Source organism: Homo sapiens, chromosome 9, assembly GCF_000001405.40.
Source record: "Homo sapiens chromosome 9, GRCh38.p14 Primary Assembly".
Taxonomy (NCBI): Eukaryota; Metazoa; Chordata; class Mammalia; order Primates; family Hominidae; genus Homo; species Homo sapiens.
Genome location: NC_000009.12, coordinates 91,275,749 through 91,294,825, shown reverse-complemented (window position 1 = coordinate 91,294,825; position 19,077 = coordinate 91,275,749). Strand labels below are relative to the sequence as shown.

Sequence of the window (19,077 nt, the reverse complement as noted above, 5' to 3'; positions counted from 1 at the left end):
TCTCTTGCTCTTTCCACCACATCTGTAGTGACTTCCTCCACTGAAGTCTTGAATCCCTCCAAGTCATCCATGAAGATTGGAATCATCATCTTCCAAACTCCTGTTAATATTGATATTCTGGCCTCTTCCCATGAATCATGAATGTTCTTAAAGGGATCTAGAATGGCAGATCCTTTCCAGAAGGTTTTCAATTTAATTTGCCCAGATCCATAAGAGGAATCACTGTCTATGGCAGCTATAGCCTTATGAAATGTGGTTTTTGTTTTGTTTTGTTTTTTTGAGACGGAGTCTCGCTCTGTTGCCAGGTTGGAGTGCAGTGGTGTGATCTCGGCTCACTGCAACCCCTGCCTCCCCGGTTCAAGGGATTCTCCTGCCTCAGCCTCCTGAGTAGCTGGGACTACAGGTGCACACCACCGTGCCCAGCTAATTTTTGTATTTTTTGTAGAGACGGAGTTTCACCATGTTGGCCAGGATGGTCTTGATCTCTTGACCTCATGATCTGCCTGCCTCAAGCTCCCAAAGTGCTGGGATTACAGGCGTGAGCCACCACGCCCAGCCTGAAATGTGTGTCTTAAATAATAAGACTTGAAAGTAGACTGATCCATGGGCTGTGGAATGGCTGTTATGTTATCAGGCATGAAAACAACATTCATCTCCTTGTCTGTCTCTGTCAGAGCTCTTGGGTAACCAGGACATTGTCACTGAACAGTAATATTTTGAAAGAACTCTTTTTTTTGAGCAGTAGGTCTCAGCAGTGGGCTTTAGTATTCAGTAAACTATGCTGGAAACCAGATGCACTGTCATCCAGGTTTTATTTGTTCCATTTATAAAGCATAAGCAGAGTTAACTTAGCATAGTTCTTAAGGGCTCTAGAAGTTTGGGAATGATAAGTGAGCAGTGGCTTTAACTAAAAGCCACCAGCTGCATTAGTCCCTAACAAGGGAGTCAGTCTGTCCTTTGAAGCTTTGAAGCCAGGCATTGACTTCTCTTCTGTAGCTATGAAAGTCCTGGATAACATCTTCTTCTAATAGTAGGCTGTTTTGTCTACACTGAAGATGTGTTATTCAGTGTAGGCACCTTCATCAGTGATCTTAGCTAGATCTTCTGGATAATTTGCTGCAGCTTCTACATCAGCACGTGCTGCTTCACCTTGTACTTCTGTGTTACGGTAGATGGCTTCTTTCCTTAACCATGAAGTAGCCTCTGCTAGCTTCCAACTTTTCTTCTGCAGCTTCTTCACTTGTCTCAGACTTAACTCTAGAATTAAAGAGAGTTAAGAGTTATAGTTAAAGAGAGTTAGGGCTTTGCTCTGGATTAGGCTTTGGCTTAGGGGAATGTTGTGGCTAGTTTGATCTTCTTTACGGACCACTAAAACTTTCTGCATATCAGCAATAAGGCTATTCTGCTTTCTTCTTATTCCTGTGTTCACTGGAGTAGCACTTCTAATTACCTTCAAGAAACGTTGCTTTGCATTGGCAACTAAGCCTAAGTGGTGCAAGAGGCCTAGCTTTTGGCTGATCTCAGCTTTTGACATGCCTTCCTCACTAAGCTTAATCATTTCTAGTTTTTGATTTCCAGTGAGAGACGTGTGGATCTTTGCTCTACTTGAACACTGCAGAAGTCACTGGAAGGTTATTCATTGGCCTAATTTCAATACTGTTTTGTCTCAGGGAATAGAGAGACCCAAGGAAAGGGAGAGAGATGGGGGAACAGCCCGTTGGTTGAGCCGTCAGAATACATGCATTTATTGGTTAAGTTTGCCATCCTATGTGGGCGTGGTTCATGGTGCCCCAAAATAATTACAGTAGTAACAACAAAGATTAATGATCACAGGTTACCATAAGAGATACAATAATGAAAAGGTTTGAAATATTGTGAAAATTACCAAAATATGGCACAGAGACATGAAGTAAGCACATACTGTTGGAAAAATGGTGCCAATAGACTTGCTTGATGCAGGGTTACCATTAATTTGTAAAAATGTAGTATCTGTGAAGTACAATAAAGGGAAGCACGACAAAATGAGGTATGCCTGTATGCCCTATTTTTAGCTTACGTAGACAGTGAAGATGGTAGTTCTTAAGTTTTAAGTTACTGTGCTAATTACATTTTTGTCACTGTTTGGATCTATTTTCCTAAAGGATTACACAAATATTTTAAAGCTTTTATGCGTGCATTTAAATGTGTGTGTCCTCACCAACAGCTTCATGCAGACAGTGAAACCCCAAGTGGAAGAAGAAGAGAGGTGCCTGGGTGCGGTGTCTTATGCCTGTAATCCTAGCACTTTGGGAGGCCGAGGCGGGTGGATCACTTGAGGTCAGGAGTTTGAGACCAGCCTGGCCAACCTGGTGAAACCCCGTCTCTACTAAAAATAGAAGAATTAGCCAGTCATGGTGGTGCGTGCTTGTAATCACAGCTACCTGGGAGGCTGAGGCAGGAGAATTGCTTGAACCCAGATGGTGGAAATTGCAGTGAGCCGAGATCACACCACCGCACTCCAGCAGCCTGGGTGACAGAGCGAGACTCCGTCTCAAAAAAAAAAAAAAAAAAAAGAGGGTTCCCAGGCTTTGTACCACCTTTCTTGTGTTTCTCTGCAGTGGGACAAAAGTTGCGGTTAGTGGGTAGCCTGAACTTAGAGCTGAAGAGGTGTTGTTTCTTCTATTCCTATGAAAAAAATAGATGAGCTTCTGTTCTTGAAAGAGCCGTTTAAGAAAACATCTTTCCAAAATTGATAATGAAATCTTGCATCACCCAATAAATCTGAAATTTTTGGTCTTTTGATTCAGAGAATTTGGAGGCATTCCCATTTTGTGAAGTCATTCTTTCAAAAAGTAGACTTCATTTAAGGATATGCATGTTATAGTAACCTTCCTTGGAACTTTTTTTTTTTTTTTTTTTTTTTTGACACGGAGTCTCACTCTGTCGCCAGACTGGAGTGCAATGGCACAATCTTGGCTCATGGTACCTTTTATGTATGCTAAATGATGCTTAGAGTATGAATGAAACAACAGTAACAATGTAAATATTAAACTCAGTGTTGAACATGGAAGACATACTTGCATATGAATTGGTTAAAATTGTGTGGTTAACCTTATCATTAAAAGAGTATTTATTCTGATAGGTAGAAATTTAAAACATAGGTTACAGTGAAATTGAAGACTGCCCAGATGAATGTGTAAGACTCCCCATGTTTTCTACTTTGGTAATTGATGAAAATGTTATTCTTGTAGGCCAAAACATTTAATATATACTTACTCTATTATGCCTGCCTTTTTCACTGTGACTAATAAAAAACACCAGAAGGATTTATAAGACAGTGGATCAATTTAAAAAGAATTCCCAGATAACTAATATGTGAAATAAAGCAAAATTTAGCAAAAGGGTGATGTGACATATTTCTGAAATTCTTTTGAGAAGTAAGCATTTGTTGGTAATGAGGATGTGATTAATCCTAGAAGATAGAAAGATAGTGGCTGTAGTGGGTTGGATGGCATGCCGCCTCCACCCCCACCCCCCCAACAGACACCAAGAGATGTCAGCCTGGAAGGAAAAGCATCTTGCACGTGTAATTAAGGATCTCAAGATGAGATCATCCTGAATTATCTGAGAGAGGCTTAAATCCAAAGACAAGGGGTCCTTATAAGAAAGAGGAAGGCACAGAAGAAGAGAAGGTGATGCGAAGACAGAAACAGAGTGCAGTAATACATCTACATGCCAAGGAATGCCAAGGGTTGTCGGCAGCCACGGGAAGCCATGGGTGAGAGGCATGGAACAGATTTTCTCACAGAGCCTCTCGAAGGAACCACACTACAAACACCTTGATTTTGGATTTCTGGCCTCCAAAACTGAGAGAGAATAAATTTCAGTTGTTCAGAGGTACCAGGTTTATGGCAATTTGTTATAGCAATGAATACAGCGACTTTTTGGTGATGTTTACATGATTTTTGGGGACAGATGGGGGTTAGTAGGTGGCAGAAATTTGGGGAGGGAGCAAGATGAACTTGGTAATTTGGATATTTACTGTGACTTGATTATGAAAAGTTTTGTGTTACAACTACCAGAAGATAGAGAGCAGTGTTTGGTTTGATTAGATGAGAAAAGATAGATTATGCTATAACAACCTCTTCTGTCTTGTCTTGTGAACTCACTGTGCCATACCATATGAGGTCTAGAAACTAGAATTTTTTCCCAATATACTTAAGTTCTTTAGAGTCCTCTGCAATAGTGGCTGCATTAATTAGAACCTACTTTTTGTAGGTTTGATTGAATTTGGACTACATATTCTGACAAATAGAATTATTTTTCTAGTTTCTATTAAATAAATTTGTCATAAAAGTCAGAATGCTTTGACATATTCCCATGTACTTACAAAGGATGGTTGTCTTTTTCTTTTCTTTCTTTTTTTTGTTTGGAGACAGGGTCTTGCTTGGTCACCCAGGCTAAAGGACAGCGATGTAATGATAGCTCACTGCAGCCTCAAACTCTTGGGTTCGAGATCTTCCCACCTCGGCCTCTGGAGTAGCTGGGACTATAGGCACACAGCACTGCACTCGGCTAATTTTCTTCTCTTTTTGTAGAGGCAGGGTCTCACTATGTTGCCCAAGCTGGTCTTGAACTTCTGGCCTCAAGCAATCCTCCTGCCTTGGCTTCCCAAAGTGCTGGGATTACAGGCATGAGCCACTGCCTCTGACCTCTTTTGTCCTAAGTGAGTTTGAGGAATGTATTTTAGTTCCTCTTTTAATACCATGAAGCTTTCAAGTTCATAGCTCATAAAATGTTATGTAGCTTTGAATTTTTTAATGTAAATGAAAATCAGATTCATTTTCGTTATTAATAAAAATTTCAATAGTATTCACATTTAGATAAGAGATGCACAGAATTTTTGGTCTACTTTTAAATTAATATTACAGTTCTTAAAGTACCCTAGGTGATGCCTGTTCTTTTGAAACAGCAGAGATTTTATTTTAAAAATACGTTTTTGTGTTTATTACCTAAAGGAGCTATTCTGAAATTTTTATGTAGAAAAATCTTCTTCTGCTCCATCCACAGAAGATTTTTTATCCATAGATATTTTTGCCATCTCCTTTCTCCTCTTTCCTTTGTTGTAGATGATATGAAAAGACTGCTTTTTTCAAAAATTGTGTTTTTAAATTGGTGAATTTTGCCATGCCTAAAGTGATCTCTGAGATATCCTCCTTTTGGGTATAAACATTTCTGTTAAATGTTGTAAAGAGCTTTCTATAATAGACACAGTAGACTGTATTTAATTTTTTTCTCCCTTCTTGGTAGATCTCTTTTGGTTAAAAGAAAATGCGTCACTTGCCTCCTATTATAGAAGCTTGTATGAGCAGCCAGGGGTGCACTCTGCAGGGAAGGCTTGGCCATTGCCAGTGAGCCTTGCTCCACTGTAGCTGCCTTAGCTCTTCCTCTTTTCCAGATGAGCAGGTGCTGACAGCCAAAAAAATAGAAAATAAGTGGGGAGAATTCAAATATGGGGAAAATATTGTGGAAAAAATAGATGCTTAATTTTTCTTCTTAATATTATGTAGAAAGTAAATATCTTTGGGTAAAATACATGAATTGTAGCCACTCTAGAAAACAGATGTTTAAAATCTGGCAAATAATCTTCTGCTAAGTTATTACAGGTCCATGATTTCATACTGGCCAGCATTTGTAAGTTAATCCAAATGAAATTGTATCTCCTTATTTGAATTTACTGTACATTTGATAAAGACAAGAGAATTAATGTGATGCTATTGATTGTCATATCATCACTTCTGGCCTTTTCTGATAGCAGTTCACAGCAAAACAATTTGTCAAAAAATAGTGTTTTGTTTTGTTTTGTTTTCTTTACCTGAGCTTTGACCTGCGTAGCAATATGTTGATTTTTAAGGTATGTTTTGTAAATTAAAAAAATGCTATTATAAAATAATGACTTTGAAGAGATGGTAATATTTCTATTGAACATATTAATGGACCACTGCTATCATGTAGTTTTTAATTTAGAAGGCTCAATTTTAGTTTTTATTAGAAAGAATATTGTTTAGTATCAAATGACTATTAAAAGTATATAGTGCAATAAAAAGAAAGACGTGAAGGAATGTGGAAACATTAAAACAAAATCGAACCTCCTTAAGTAGTAGTTATATCAGATGTAATTAAAAGATGGGATGTAATTTGACTATCAAATACTTGAACCAATGCTTTTATTTGTAATATATATATGTGTATATATGTTTTTGATTACCAATATTAAACACAAAGTGAAACACTATTGATTTGAAGCACTGGCCCATTTAAAAATAATTTAAATGGTTACCCCAGAACCTTGTCGTAATTTTATTGGGGATTTTTGTACAATATATAGCCCTAGTTTCGTCTCCAACGTTCTCACCTTTAAGAAAGCATTTACATTTCCTATCCTCTCCCAACTGGGAGAATATGCAAATATTATAAAATAAAATTCTCTTTTAGAAATAGTTCCTAAAACAGTACTTTCCTTTAATACATTTGCAAGGATGAAATACAAGTTCAGAGGATTAAGATCCTTTTATTTGACAGTATCTCTTTAAATTTACAGAGAAAATAGTGGCAGATTTTCTAATTCCCGCTCTTTGTTCTTACCTCTTCTACTGGAGGTTTTGGGGTCTGTGTCAGGAAACCTTATTATTACTAAGGTAATTTGTTAAGGCTTTTTGCTTGGGTGTACACCACTGGGATTGAGATGCTTTGTATTTCCACTGCTCTGTGAATTCCTTTTTTATTCCCCCCAGCTTCTGGGGGGAGGCATATTCAAACTAGGAAGTTTGAATAGCAGTAAAACACACATTTTTATACCCTTTACAAAGATCTATTCCTTCCATTTTCTTTCTCCTTCCATTCCCCAAATCCTTCTTTCTCATAGAAACATTTCAAAATATAGATGAGTCTTTCAATATTTCAGCATACGTTTTCTAAGAATCAAGAATGGTCTCTTACATAATCAACACTATTATCACACCCAAGAATATTAACAGGAATTTAGTAATATTATTTAATATATGATTCATAATTGGATTTCTCCAGTTGTCTGTAGCCGTCTTTTTGTATTTTGTTTTTCCAGTTCAGGATTAATTTTTCATTTGGTTAAATCTGTAGTTTTTTCAAATTTGAAAGAGTACCTCATTCATGTTTTTTGTTTTCTATAACACTAATTTAACTTTTCATGTTGCAGTAATTTCAGATTTACAGAATAGTTACAAAGATAGTATAAATCACTCTTATGTACGCTTTACCCAGCTTCCTCAAATATTAACATGTTATAGAACTGTACCACAGTTAACAAAAGTAGACAGTTAATACTGGTATGTTATTACTAACTAATCTGTAGACCTTACTCAAATGCTGTCACTTTTCTCACAAGTGTCCTTTTTCTGGTTCAAGACAGTTGAGGCCTCCACGTTGCATTTAGTTGGTGTGTCTCCTTTGTCTCTTGTATTTAATCAGTGTATAAATTTGTATTTAATCATCTTGACAATTTAGAAGAGTGCCAGTCTGTAATTATGTGGAATGTCTTTTATTTTTGAGTTTGCCTAATGTTTCCTCATGAATAAATTAAGATTATTCATTTTTGGCAAGAATTTGTGTTCTTCTCAGGGCATCCTATTGGGGTTGCATGATGTCCCTGTGTCTCATGTTTGGTGATGGTAACTTTTCTTTTAACCTGAAACATGATACTTACCCATTTTTTTTAAAGGATTAAGTATTTTATTTTTCTAATTGACAAGTAAAAATTCTATGTAGAGTGTTTTTATATATATCTACACACACACATTGTGAAGTGATTAAATTAAGCTAATTAGCATGTATTGCCTCATATACTCATTAGTGTGTGTGTATATATGGGGTGAGAACATATAAGATCTACTCTTAGCAATTTTCAGGTATATAATATGTTATCATTACCTGTGGTCACCATGACATACAGTAGATCTTTTGAACTTATTCCTCATGTCTAAAGTTTGTGTACTTTGGCTAACATCTCCTCAGTGTCCCCATACAAACACGATAGGTAGTTAGGTAGGTAGGTAGATAGGTAGATAGATAGATTTTTTTTTTTTTTTTTTAGAGAATTCAGGCGATTGTCTGAGTCTTGCTCATTCTAGATTTAACTTAATATTTCCTCATGGTTAGGTTTAGGGTAAGACATTTTGCCAACAACATTAAAATGTCAATGCTGCATGTTTCATTTTGTGTTTATTATGTGATTCCTAATGTTAGGTCATCCCACTTTGGGTGATAATATCTTTGATCATTTGGTTGGGGTAGTGACAAATGTGGGCATATTTTTAGGATTATCTTAGAAACTTTTCAGGAAAAGAAGCTATAGTAATTACCATTGGCTGACTATTTCCAAATTTAAAAAGAAAGGAAGAAGGAAAATTAGAGCACAGAGGTTTCATGGAACCAGAAAAAGAGACCAACTCCAGTTTTGTCTTTTTTTCCCCTCCCTGGGTGAGGGATCTGGGGGCATTACTGTACATCATTGTTGGCTGTGTTCAGCAGTAGGGCAGTCTTTTGGCATGTTTTCCTGGAACTCGATTTTAAATCCTGTGAGTGTGTGTAGTCCTGAACACAGTAGTCATTTTGAAAGGCTTTGTTTATAACCTTTGTTGAGATCCTTTTAGAAGTTCCGTCAGAATCTGAGCTTATTCTTTTAAATATCCTCAGCAGTGACTCATTTTTATCCTGTGAGGGTAAATTTGATTTTCATAAATATCAAAAGATCATTCTGTGCCAAATATGATTAATAAGGTCATACTATTCCAGGAAGAAAAAAAAGCATAACAAAACGATTTTTTTTAAAAAAGAGGCTTACATAATGTTGACATTTTACCGATGTGAAGAAAGAACAGAGTAGTTGGGTTTAGTGTAGCACTTCCCCAGGTGACTTCCTTAAAGCTGGCACTGATTCAGCCTTCTGAAGTCCAGTGTATTTATTAACATATTAACATTATTAACATACCTTGCGTATACACGAGCACACACTATGAAGTCTCATCTTTTTATACATTAAAGTGTAATTCAGTGACTAGTTCTTTTTGTGTAATTAGGGTGGTTTGGGAGTTATTTGCTGACTTTGTACTGTGTACAGACCATTTTGTTAGTAGCTGTGGAATAAACAGGTTTATGTAGGACTTAGTAATGCTCCCTTGGAATTGATCACCTAAAATCTGTTAGGAGAGATGAAACGTGAGCAAACATCATAACTGCCCTTTATAATACTGTTGTTGTAGTCAAACAGGGATAAGGCAATATAAAGCTGGGAGTCAATGAGTTCAGAAAAACAGTGTGGCTTCTGTCAGCCATCACCAAGATTTTTTTTTTTTAATACTTTAAGTTCTAGGGTACATGTGCACAATGTGCAGATTTGTTACATATGTATACATGTGCCATGTTGGTGTGCTGCACCCATTAACTTGTCATTTACATTAGGTGTGTCTCCTAATGCTATCCCTCCCCCCTTCCCCCACCCCATGACAGGCCCCAGTGTGTGATGTTCCCCTTCCTATGTCCAAGTGTTCTCATTGTTCAGTTCCCACCTATGAGTGAGAACATGTGGTGTTTGGTTTTTTGTCCTTGCAATAGTTTGCTGAGAATGATGATTTCCAGCTTCATCCATGTCCCTACAAAGGACATGAACTCATCATTTCTTATGGCTGCATAGTATTCCATGGTGTGTATATGCCACATTTTCTTAATCCAGTCTATCATTGATGGACATTTGGGTTGGTTCCAAGTCTTTGCTATTGTGAATAGTGCCGCAATAAACATACGTGTGCATGTGTCTTCATAGCAGCATGATTTATAATCCTTTGGGTGTATACCCAGTAACGGGATGGCTGGGTCAAATGGTGTTTCTAGTTCTAGATCCCTGAGGAATTGCCACACTGTCTTCCACAGTGGTTGAACTAGTTTAGAGTCCCACCAACAGTGTAAAAGTGTTCCTATTTCTCCACATCCTCTCCAGCACCTGTTGTTTCCCGACTTTTTAATAATCACCATGTTAACTGGTGTGAGATGGTATCTCATTGTGGTTTTGATTTGCATTTCTCTGATAGCCAGTGATACAGCATTTTTTCATGTGTCTGTTGGCTGCATGAATGTCTTTTGAGAAGTGTCTGTTCATATCCTTCGCCTACTTTGTGATGAGGTTGTTTGTTTTTTTTCTCGTAAGTTTATTTGAGTTCATTGTAGATTCTGGATATTAGCCCTTTGTCAGATGAGTAGATTGCAAAAATTTTCTCCCATTCTGTAGGTTGCCTGTTCACGCTGATGGCAGTTTCTTTTGCTGTGCAGAAGCTCTTTAGTTTAATTAGATCCCATTTGTCTATTTTGGCTTTTGTCGCCATTGCTTTTGGTGTTTTAGACATGACATCCTTTCCCATGCCTGTATCCTGAATGGTATTGCCTAGGTTTTCTTCTAGGGTTTTTATGGTTTTGGGTCTAACATTTAAGTCTTTAATCCGTCTTGAATTAATTTTTGTATAAGTTATAAGGAAGGGATCCAGTTTCAGCCTTCTACATATGGCTAGCCAGTTTTCCCAGCACCATTTATTAAATAGGGAATTCTTTCCCTATTTCTTGTTTTTGTCAGGTTTGTCAAAGATCAGATGGTTGTAGATGTGTGGTATTATTTCTGAGGGCTCTGTTCGATTCCATTGGTCTGTATCTCTGTTTTGGTACCAGTACCATGCTGTTTTGGTTACTGTGGCCTCATAGTATAGTTTGAAGTCAGGTAGCATGATGCCTCCAGCTTTGTTCTTTTGGCTTAGGATTGTCTTGGCAATGCGGGCCCTTTTTTTTTTTCCATATGAACTTTAAAGTAGTTTTTTCTAATTCTGTGGAGAAAGTCATTGGTAGCTTGATGGGGATGGCATTGAATCTATAAATTACCTTGGGCAGTATGGCCATTTTCACAATATTGATTCTTCCTATCTATGAGCATGGAATGTTCTTCCATTTGTTTGTGTCCTCTTTTATTCATTGAGCAGTGGTTTGTAGTTCTCCTTGAAGAGGTCGTTCACATCCCTTGTAAGTTGGATTCCTAGGTATTTTATTCTCTTTGAAGGAATTGTGAATGGGAGTTCACTCATGATTTGGCTCTCTGTTTGTCTGTTATTGGTGTATAGGAATGCTTGTGATTTTTGCACATTGATTTTGTATCCTGAGACTTTGCTGAAGTTGCTTATCAGCTTAAGGAGATTTTGGGCTGAGACAATGGGGTTTTCTAAATATGCAATCATATCATCTGCAAACAGGGACAATTTGACTTCCTCTTTTCCTAATTGAATACCGTTTATTTCTTTCTCCTGCCTGATTGCCCTGGCCAGAACTTCCAACACTATGTTGAATAGGAGTGGTGAGAGAGGGCATCCCTGTCTTGTGCCAGTTTTCAAAGGGAATGCTTCCAGTTTTTGCCTATTCAGTATGATATTGGCTGTGGGTTTGTCATAAATAGCTCTTATTATTTTGAGATACGTCCCATCAATACCTAATTTATTGAGAGTTTTTAGCATGAAGGTTGTTGAATTTAGTCAAAGGCCTTTTCTGCATCTATTGAGATAATCATGTGGTTTTTGTCTTTGGTTCTGTTTATATGCTGGATTACGTTTATTGATTTGCATATGTTGAACCAGCCTTGCATCCCAGGGATGAAGCCCACTTGATCATGGTGGATAAGCTTTTTGATGTGCTGCTGGATTCGTTTTGCCAGTATTTTATTGAGGATTTTTGCACCGATGTTCATCAGGGATATTGGTGTAAAATTCTCTTTCTTTGTGGTGTCTCTGCCAGGCTTTGGTATCAGGATGATGCTGGCCTCATAAAATGAGTTAGGGAAGATTCCCTCTTTTTCTGTTGATTGGAATAGTTTCAGAAGGAATGGTACCCGCTCCTCCTTGTACCTTTGGTAGAATTTGGCTGTGAATCCGTCTGGTCCTGGACTTTTTTTGGTTGGTAGGCTATTAATTATTGCCTCAATTTCAGAGCCTGTTATTGGTCTATTCAGGGATTCAGCTTCTTCCTGGTTTCGTCTTGGGAGGGTGTATGTGTCCAGGAATTTATCCATTTCTTCTAGATTTTCTAGTTTATTTGCATAGAGGTGTTTATAGTATTCTCTGATGGTAGTTTGTATTTCCGTGGGATCGGAGCCATCACCAAGATTTAATAGATGACATGTCCTGCAAGGTGGGTCCCTGGCTACTTCTCTGACCTCAGCTCCTACCACTGCTCCTCCTGCTCACATACTGTTTTCCAGGCATGTTTACTCACTTGCCTTAGCAGACATTTGTTGAGTCATGTGCTGATGTGGACACTGGGGATACAGCCGTGAACAAGCAGAGGAAGATCCTGCCACCAAGCAGTTACCTTCTAGCACAGGAACAGTAGACCTAGCACATGATAAATTGTGTATTATGGCAGAAGTGGAAGGTGCTATAGAAAAAAAAAATAGGGGAAGGGGTCCAAGGAGAGTGTGGGTTTGTAGTTTAAAACCAAGAGGTCAGAGCAAACCCCATTTAAAAGGTAACATTGAAATAAAGACTTAAGGGAGTTGAGGAAATTAATCATACAGATCTGAGGAAAAGCATGTCAGTCAAAAGTATCAACTAGTAAAGAGGCCTTAGATGGGAGTGTGCTTGGAACATTCACCACATCACCACAACCAGAGCAGAGAGGAGGAGGAGGAGAGCAATAGGAGATACTGTCAGAGAAGCAATAGGGGAGTCAGATCTAGAGGTCTTATAGCCACTGTCAGGACTTTTAACTTTTACCCTGAGTGAGAAGGGGGCTCACCGTAGGTTTTTCAGCAGAGGTGTGACGTGCTGTGACATGCTCTTAGATATTTGAAGGTTCATTGTCATCACTGTGTTAGGAGCAGACAATAGTAGGGCCAGGTTAGAAGGAAGAAGCCTATTCCTGCCACGAGCCTGTTGCTGTAGTTGAAGTGGAATGTGATAGGGGCCTCTACTGGGATGGGAATGGTGAAAGTAGTGGGGTATGGTTTAGATTCTCGGTATCTTTTGAAGATGGAGCCAAAAGAATCTCTTGATAGACTAGATGGGTAACATAAAAGAAACCGATGTAAAGAATGACTCCAAGGATTCTGGCTGCAGTAACTGAAAAGAGAGGTTGCCTTGTACTGAGATGTGGAAAGCTATTCAAAAAGCAAGTTGGGAAGTGACAATCAAGAATATTGTTTTGGACGTGTTGGCTTCAAAATGGTCATTAAATATCAAGTACACTTTTAAGTAGACTGTTACACAGATGTGGAGTTTTCGAGAGCAGCCTGGGTGGAAAATAAAAAACCGTGGGATTCATTTTTTTCCTGCCTTCCAGAGGCCTGTTCTAAAGGCATCCTGAAACACAGAAATGGACATTGGTACAGACAGAGAGAACTCCAGGAGAGTAACTCCAACAAATAAAAATCTTAGGATTAAAAAATAAAATTGCCAAAATAAAAAACAAACTGGATGGACTGAATTGCAGAATGAAGATGAACAAAAGAGAGAGTGAGTGAATCTGAAGATAGAGCAATAGAAATTATTATTCAGTCTGAACAACAGAGAAAAAATCATTGTGTAAAATAAATGAACTGAACCGTAGGAACCTGTGGGATAATACTGAAAGGTTAAACATTTGTGTCTCAAGTGTTCCAGAAGGAGAGGAGAAAGTGTATTTCAGGGGGGAAAAAATCAAAGAAATAATGGTTGAAAACTTTCCTAATTTGGTGAAAGATATAAGGATTTAAGAAGCTGAGTAAACCTAAACAAGCCCAGAGAAATCCGCGATCAGACACATCATAAATAAACTCCCTAAAATTCAAGACTTTTAAAAAAATCCTGAAAGAGGAAAATGCACAGGCAATTCAATGGAGAAAGTGTGTTGTAGGAAAAATTGGACTTCCATGTGCAGAAAATAATAAAAAAGAACCTTGATGTAAACCTCATAATTTGTGCCAAAATTAGCTCAAAATAGATCATAAATGTAAAACTAAGTTTTTGAAGCTCATCTCTTGTTCTCTCGAGTGTAAGACCAAGGGGCCTAGCCCACTGGTAAGTCCTCAGTGTGTATATTTGAATGCGTAAATTACTGCTCCTGGAGAAAAGAGAATGAGATTAACTTCAAAGGATAGTTATACAGAAAAGATTGGAGAATTAATAATATGAGTATGTTATTTACTTTAACTGCCCTTTTTTCATTAAAATTAGCTTTATTTATGTGTTCAAATTATGTAAGTAATGGAATCTAATTAATTGGTGATTTTGGTTATGAGTATTTTAATTTCCTCCTTATAACCTCAAATTTATGTCAGTGTTTATTGCTCTCATTTTTAAAAATTGCTAGTAACTTGCTCTCTTAGAAAAAACAGGTTATTCATTTTATGAGTGGCAGGTTACTTTCTTATTATCCAGCAGTAATCAAGGTGGTCTTATTTACATTTTAATATTCTATAGTGTTTATTTTTGTATCAAGTTAAATAAATGGTCTCAAGAATCACTTTAAGCAGTCTAGAAAGCAGATGTTGAAAGACCTACCTTTTTCTCAGAGTCATTAAATAGAATATGTAGAAAGTTAATCAAGGAAGTTAAATTAGTTCTGCCTATAAATTAAGAAGAGCGGCAGTTCATTTCCCTTATCTTTTAAAAATAAAACTGAATTCACTTTTTACAAACCTTCCAGTTTGGTGACTGCTTTTTTGAACCTCTAGTGCCTGTAATGTGAAAAACAGGGTGTGAATTGTTTGGACTTACCATCAGAGAGATATTTCAGTGTGTACCTGTCAGCATGCCATCCGACAGACGTAAATGTCAAGTCTAATGATAACAAGAACTCTGATTTGGAATAATAGAGTTAAGCTTACATTCCTTTAAGAAAACTGAACACACTAGCTCAGCAGTAACATTTATGGTTAAACATCTGATGACTAGCCATGTCTACCTGTGGAGTCGAATAAGTAGCTCATGGCATGTGCTTTGGAGTGAGGTCCCTCTTGGCTTGTGATAGAGTTTAGATATTTGTTTCCACCAAATGTCATGTTAATTGTGACCCGCAGTGTTGGAGGAGGGGCCTGGTGGGAAGTGACTGGATCGTTGGGGCAGATTTCCCATGAACAGCTTTGCACCGTCCCCTTGGTGATGAGCGAGTTCACAGGTGATCTGGTTGTTTAAAACTGTGTGGCACTTCCCCCTCCTTGCTCTCTTGCTCCTGCTCTCACCATATGAGATGTCTGCTCCCCCTTTGCCTTCTGCCATGATTGTAAGCTTCTTGAGGCCCTCACCAGAAGCAGATGCTGATACAGCACTTCCTGTACAGCCTGCAGAACTGGGAGGCAATTAAACCTCTTTTCTTTATAAATTACTCTCAGGTATCTCTTTATAGCAACACAAATAGCCTAATACTGTTGGAAATCCCATCTCTATCACTGAACTGTATTTCTTTAGACAAGTTATTTCTCTGTATTATTTATCTCAGTTTCTTTTGTACAATAAAGATAATAATAATGCCTATATCATAGGTTGTTGTGAGAATTGACTAGGATAATACATGTAAAGTGCCTATGTCATTACCTGGCACGTTGTAAGGACTAACACTTTATTTTTGTTGTTACTTAATGGTTGTTTGCGATAATTTTTCTTCATTTTTAATATCTTTAACAGCTTTATTAAGTTATAATTGATGTACAATAAACTACACATATTTTAGCATATAATTTGATAAGTTTTGGCATATATACACCCATGAAATCATAACCAAGATAATGAAGAAGAGAAAAAACTCTTAAAAGTTTTTTCATGCCACCACTGAACTGCTTTCTGTCACTGAAGATTAGCTTTTGTTTCCAGAATTTGACATAAATGTTATTATCCCTTACGGAATCTTTTCTTTGCCTGGGTTCTTTTCCTGAGCATAATTATTTTGATATTCATCCAAGTTAGGTTGGGCAGTCTAAGGGCTCATGTCGCTTGTTTCAACAGTTACTGTCCTTTGTTGCCTTATCCAGTGTCTTGAAAACTGTTTTTTGAGTTTTTCAGGTAGGAAGGTAAATCCAGTCTTTGCTACCCTATCTTGGCTGGAAGAGGAAGGGCTATGATTCATTAAATTAATAAATGCACTATTCTTCAGTTGCATTATTTTTGTGAAATGACCAACCACTTAATCAGAAAAGTTATCTTACTGTATATCCAGACTTTCTATTTTTCCATTCGTTGAAATCGCGCCAAACTACTTCCAAGATTTGTTACCCACAAAGGTGAAATCAGACTTAACAGTGACGATCTTAAAAGGCATTTGGTATGAGTAGTTTAAAGGACCACTTTTCCTTTGAAATAGACTTACTGGTTTTTATAGTTACTTGTCACTCAGAGTGAGCACCATCTGTCAAGATTGTGGAAGAGATGGAAAAAAAATCCTCAGTGTTCAGGTTTCTTTTCTTTACTACGTATGTAAAATTGACTTTTATAAAATAATCTTTTTGCTACGCGTAAGATTACACTGTGAAACTAGAATGTTTTTATATTTGTGTGTCTTGCTTTCCCCGTTATTTTTTCATTTTAAAGTAGGACTTTGTGACTATATTGCTGGATCCTGTGGTCGCTAGGCATGGCACCCTTGTGTGGCAGTGCTATTGTGTGATCTTACTTCATGCAGCATGTTGCCAGCCCTCCGTTGTTTTCTTTTCCTACAATTTCTTCCCCTTGGTCTTCTACCTTCTGCTGTTTCTTTCCTGACACCTCATCATTAAAACTCACCTGCTGCCTCTACGATGCCTCCTCCAGTGGGGAAACCTTGAGCACCCTACCCTCAGAGCCTGTGTCCCCTTGGTGGGGAATCTTGCATACCAAACTGTTTTAATCTCAGTTAATAAGAAAGGAATAGCATTACTTCCAAATTTAACTCCCAGAGCATTCAAAGACAAAAGTAATATTGCTACCTTTTTTAAAAAAAGGAAAATATATAAACACTAATAATGTCTGATTAGGAAATCAGAATCATAGTTGGAAATAATTTTGAGGAATTTCAAAATTTCATCTTTTAGTAATTGAGGATTTCTTAAAAGTAGTTGTCTCATGTCACTTGATTTTGATTCAAACAATAGGGAAAACAGCCCCAATAAGTAATTATTGTTAATGATTTGATGCCTGCCATTTAGAAATTTTTAAATGCATACACTGATATATTCATACATACATACATACATAGATTTTTTCCCTAAAATTATTATATTATACATTCTCTTCTGCAGCTTGCTATTTTGATTTAATGTTAGGTTTTAGATACCTTTCCTTTTCACTTACAACTCTTACAAAAAACTTCTGTTTTACCATAAAACCTTCTCCTGGCTTTTAGTTTGAGATATACTTCCTTAATCATGTTAAGGAACTCTCTTGAAATGTTGATAATACTACATTTTTTGATACTGGAATTATTTAGATAGATTTTCCATTGTTGACAGAGTCTAGCTTTTCTGGAATGAACTGTACATGGTAGTGGTATATTATTCTTTCATGCTAAATTGTAATTCTGGATTCTGTATATGCTTAAATTGGAATGGTATTTTATGCATCCATTTTTATAGATGAGATTATTAGCCCTTAACATTTTAAAAGGTATGTGGAAATCTTAGTATTAATTTTTAGAGATAGGGTCTTACCCTGTAACCTGGAACTCCTGGGCTCAACTGATCTTCCCATCTCGGCATTCCAAGTAGCTGGGATTACAGGTATGCCCTACCACACCTGGCTGGTTTTTTAAAAAAATTTTTGTGGAGATGAGTGTCTTGCTATATTGCCCAGGCTGGTCTTGAGCTCCTGGGCTCAAACGATTTTCCCACCTCAGCTTCCCAAAGTGCTGGCATTACAGGTGTTGTATAATACATTTCTTTTAAGAGGTGATTTTATCCCATTTTCACATTCTTTACTTGGGGAAGAAAACCACATGGCAAACATATTTTATAAACCCATTGTCTTCCAGACTTGTTTCTTGTCCTCTATGTTCTATAAGCTATTGTTCTTGAGTCTTGCCAGTGTATAAGGTGACAGGTTTTGTTTCCATGGTGCTATGTTGTAAGTTCAGTGTTTATGTTTTTCTGTGCATATCACATAAAGATCCTTTTTTAAAAAAAGTTTAGTGTTTCATTACTTGCATTTTTCTTTAGATGTGGCGCTGCAAAGTGAGTCAGTAACCTTTGTTGAGTTTCGAAAAAATAATGACCTGTTACAGTGTTTTGTTCTCGTTTGTTATTGTTTGGAAAAAGAGTCCAAAATAATTTTATTAAAGTCACATTACTCTGTAGATAGACATAGGCCATATTTTTGAGAATTCACATTAATAACAATTTTGTATATGCAATACTCTTTTTTTTTTTTTTTTGGGAGACAGGGTCTTACTCTGTCATCTGCAGTCTCAGCTCACTGCAACCTCTGCCTCTGGGGTTCAGTGGATTCTTGTGCTTCGCTTTCTCAAGTAGCTGGGATTACAGGCGTCCGCCACCACACCCGGCTAATGTTTTTGCAATTTTAGTAGAGATAGGGTTTCACCATGTTGGCCAGGCTGGTTTCAAACTCCTGGTCTCAAGTGATCCGCCTGCCTTGGCCTTCCAAAATGCTGAGATTATAGGCATGAGCCACCGCGCTCGACCTGTTCCTAATTTTTTTTTCAAATTTTGAAATGCAGATAATATTATGTACCCCATTAGCTTATGGGGTACGTAAAGGAAATTTGTATTTGATATTGGCTCTGGTTATTACTTTTGTCCTTCCATGGACAATCACTTAAAACCTTTAATGCATGAAGCTGTATTTTAGAAAGCTATTTTGGTACTAGTCTCAAAGGATAGATTGCTCTATCTTTCCCACCCTAATGAAACTAGGTCACTGGCATTTGGCACATCTCCATGATGTGAGATTTGATGTTCAGATGTGCTGTCTAGAAATGATAATGCATTGTCAGCAAGACCACTTTTCATTTCATCAACATAATTTCCACTGCCCTGGAATCAATTTATTCCTTGACCTGTTAATAATTACACTTGATCAC

General features: G+C 37.4%; 1 protein-coding gene across 20 annotated transcripts in view, besides 2 other annotated features; it reads left to right on the top strand.

The window, feature by feature from the left end:
- Window positions 1-19,077, top strand: part of AUH (AU RNA binding methylglutaconyl-CoA hydratase) — a 148,096-nt gene that overhangs the window by 67,093 nt on the left and 61,926 nt on the right. For 3 of the 20 annotated variants that reach the window (XM_047423529.1, XM_005252072.3, XM_011518800.4), the window contains one exon: window positions 29-7,616. The exons of the other annotated variants lie outside the window; for them this stretch is intronic. In XM_047423529.1, coding sequence (XP_047279485.1) covers window positions 29-141 — 113 coding nt within the window. In that variant the 3' untranslated portion in view covers window positions 142-7,616. Of the gene's footprint in view, window positions 1-28; window positions 7,617-19,077 lie in introns of those variants that run through there. 20 annotated transcript variants of the gene reach the window in all.
- Window positions 12,254-12,423: an enhancer, noted in NCBI's record as "experimental_109279 CRE fragment used in MPRA reporter constructs". NCBI's record gives its function as "activates a minimal promoter by MPRAs in K562 erythroleukemia cells, with activity observed for the non-introgressed 9:94044770 or rs4430195 variant allele {active_cell/tissue: K562}" and the evidence as "EXISTENCE:reporter gene assay evidence [ECO:0000049][PMID:34662402]".
- Window position 12,338: a transcriptional cis regulatory region, noted in NCBI's record as "Neanderthal adaptively introgressed variant 9:94044770 (GRCh37/hg19 assembly coordinates) or rs4430195 in the experimental_109279 CRE". NCBI's record gives its function as "modulates activity of the experimental_109279 enhancer by MPRAs in K562 erythroleukemia cells {active_cell/tissue: K562}" and the evidence as "EXISTENCE:reporter gene assay evidence [ECO:0000049][PMID:34662402]".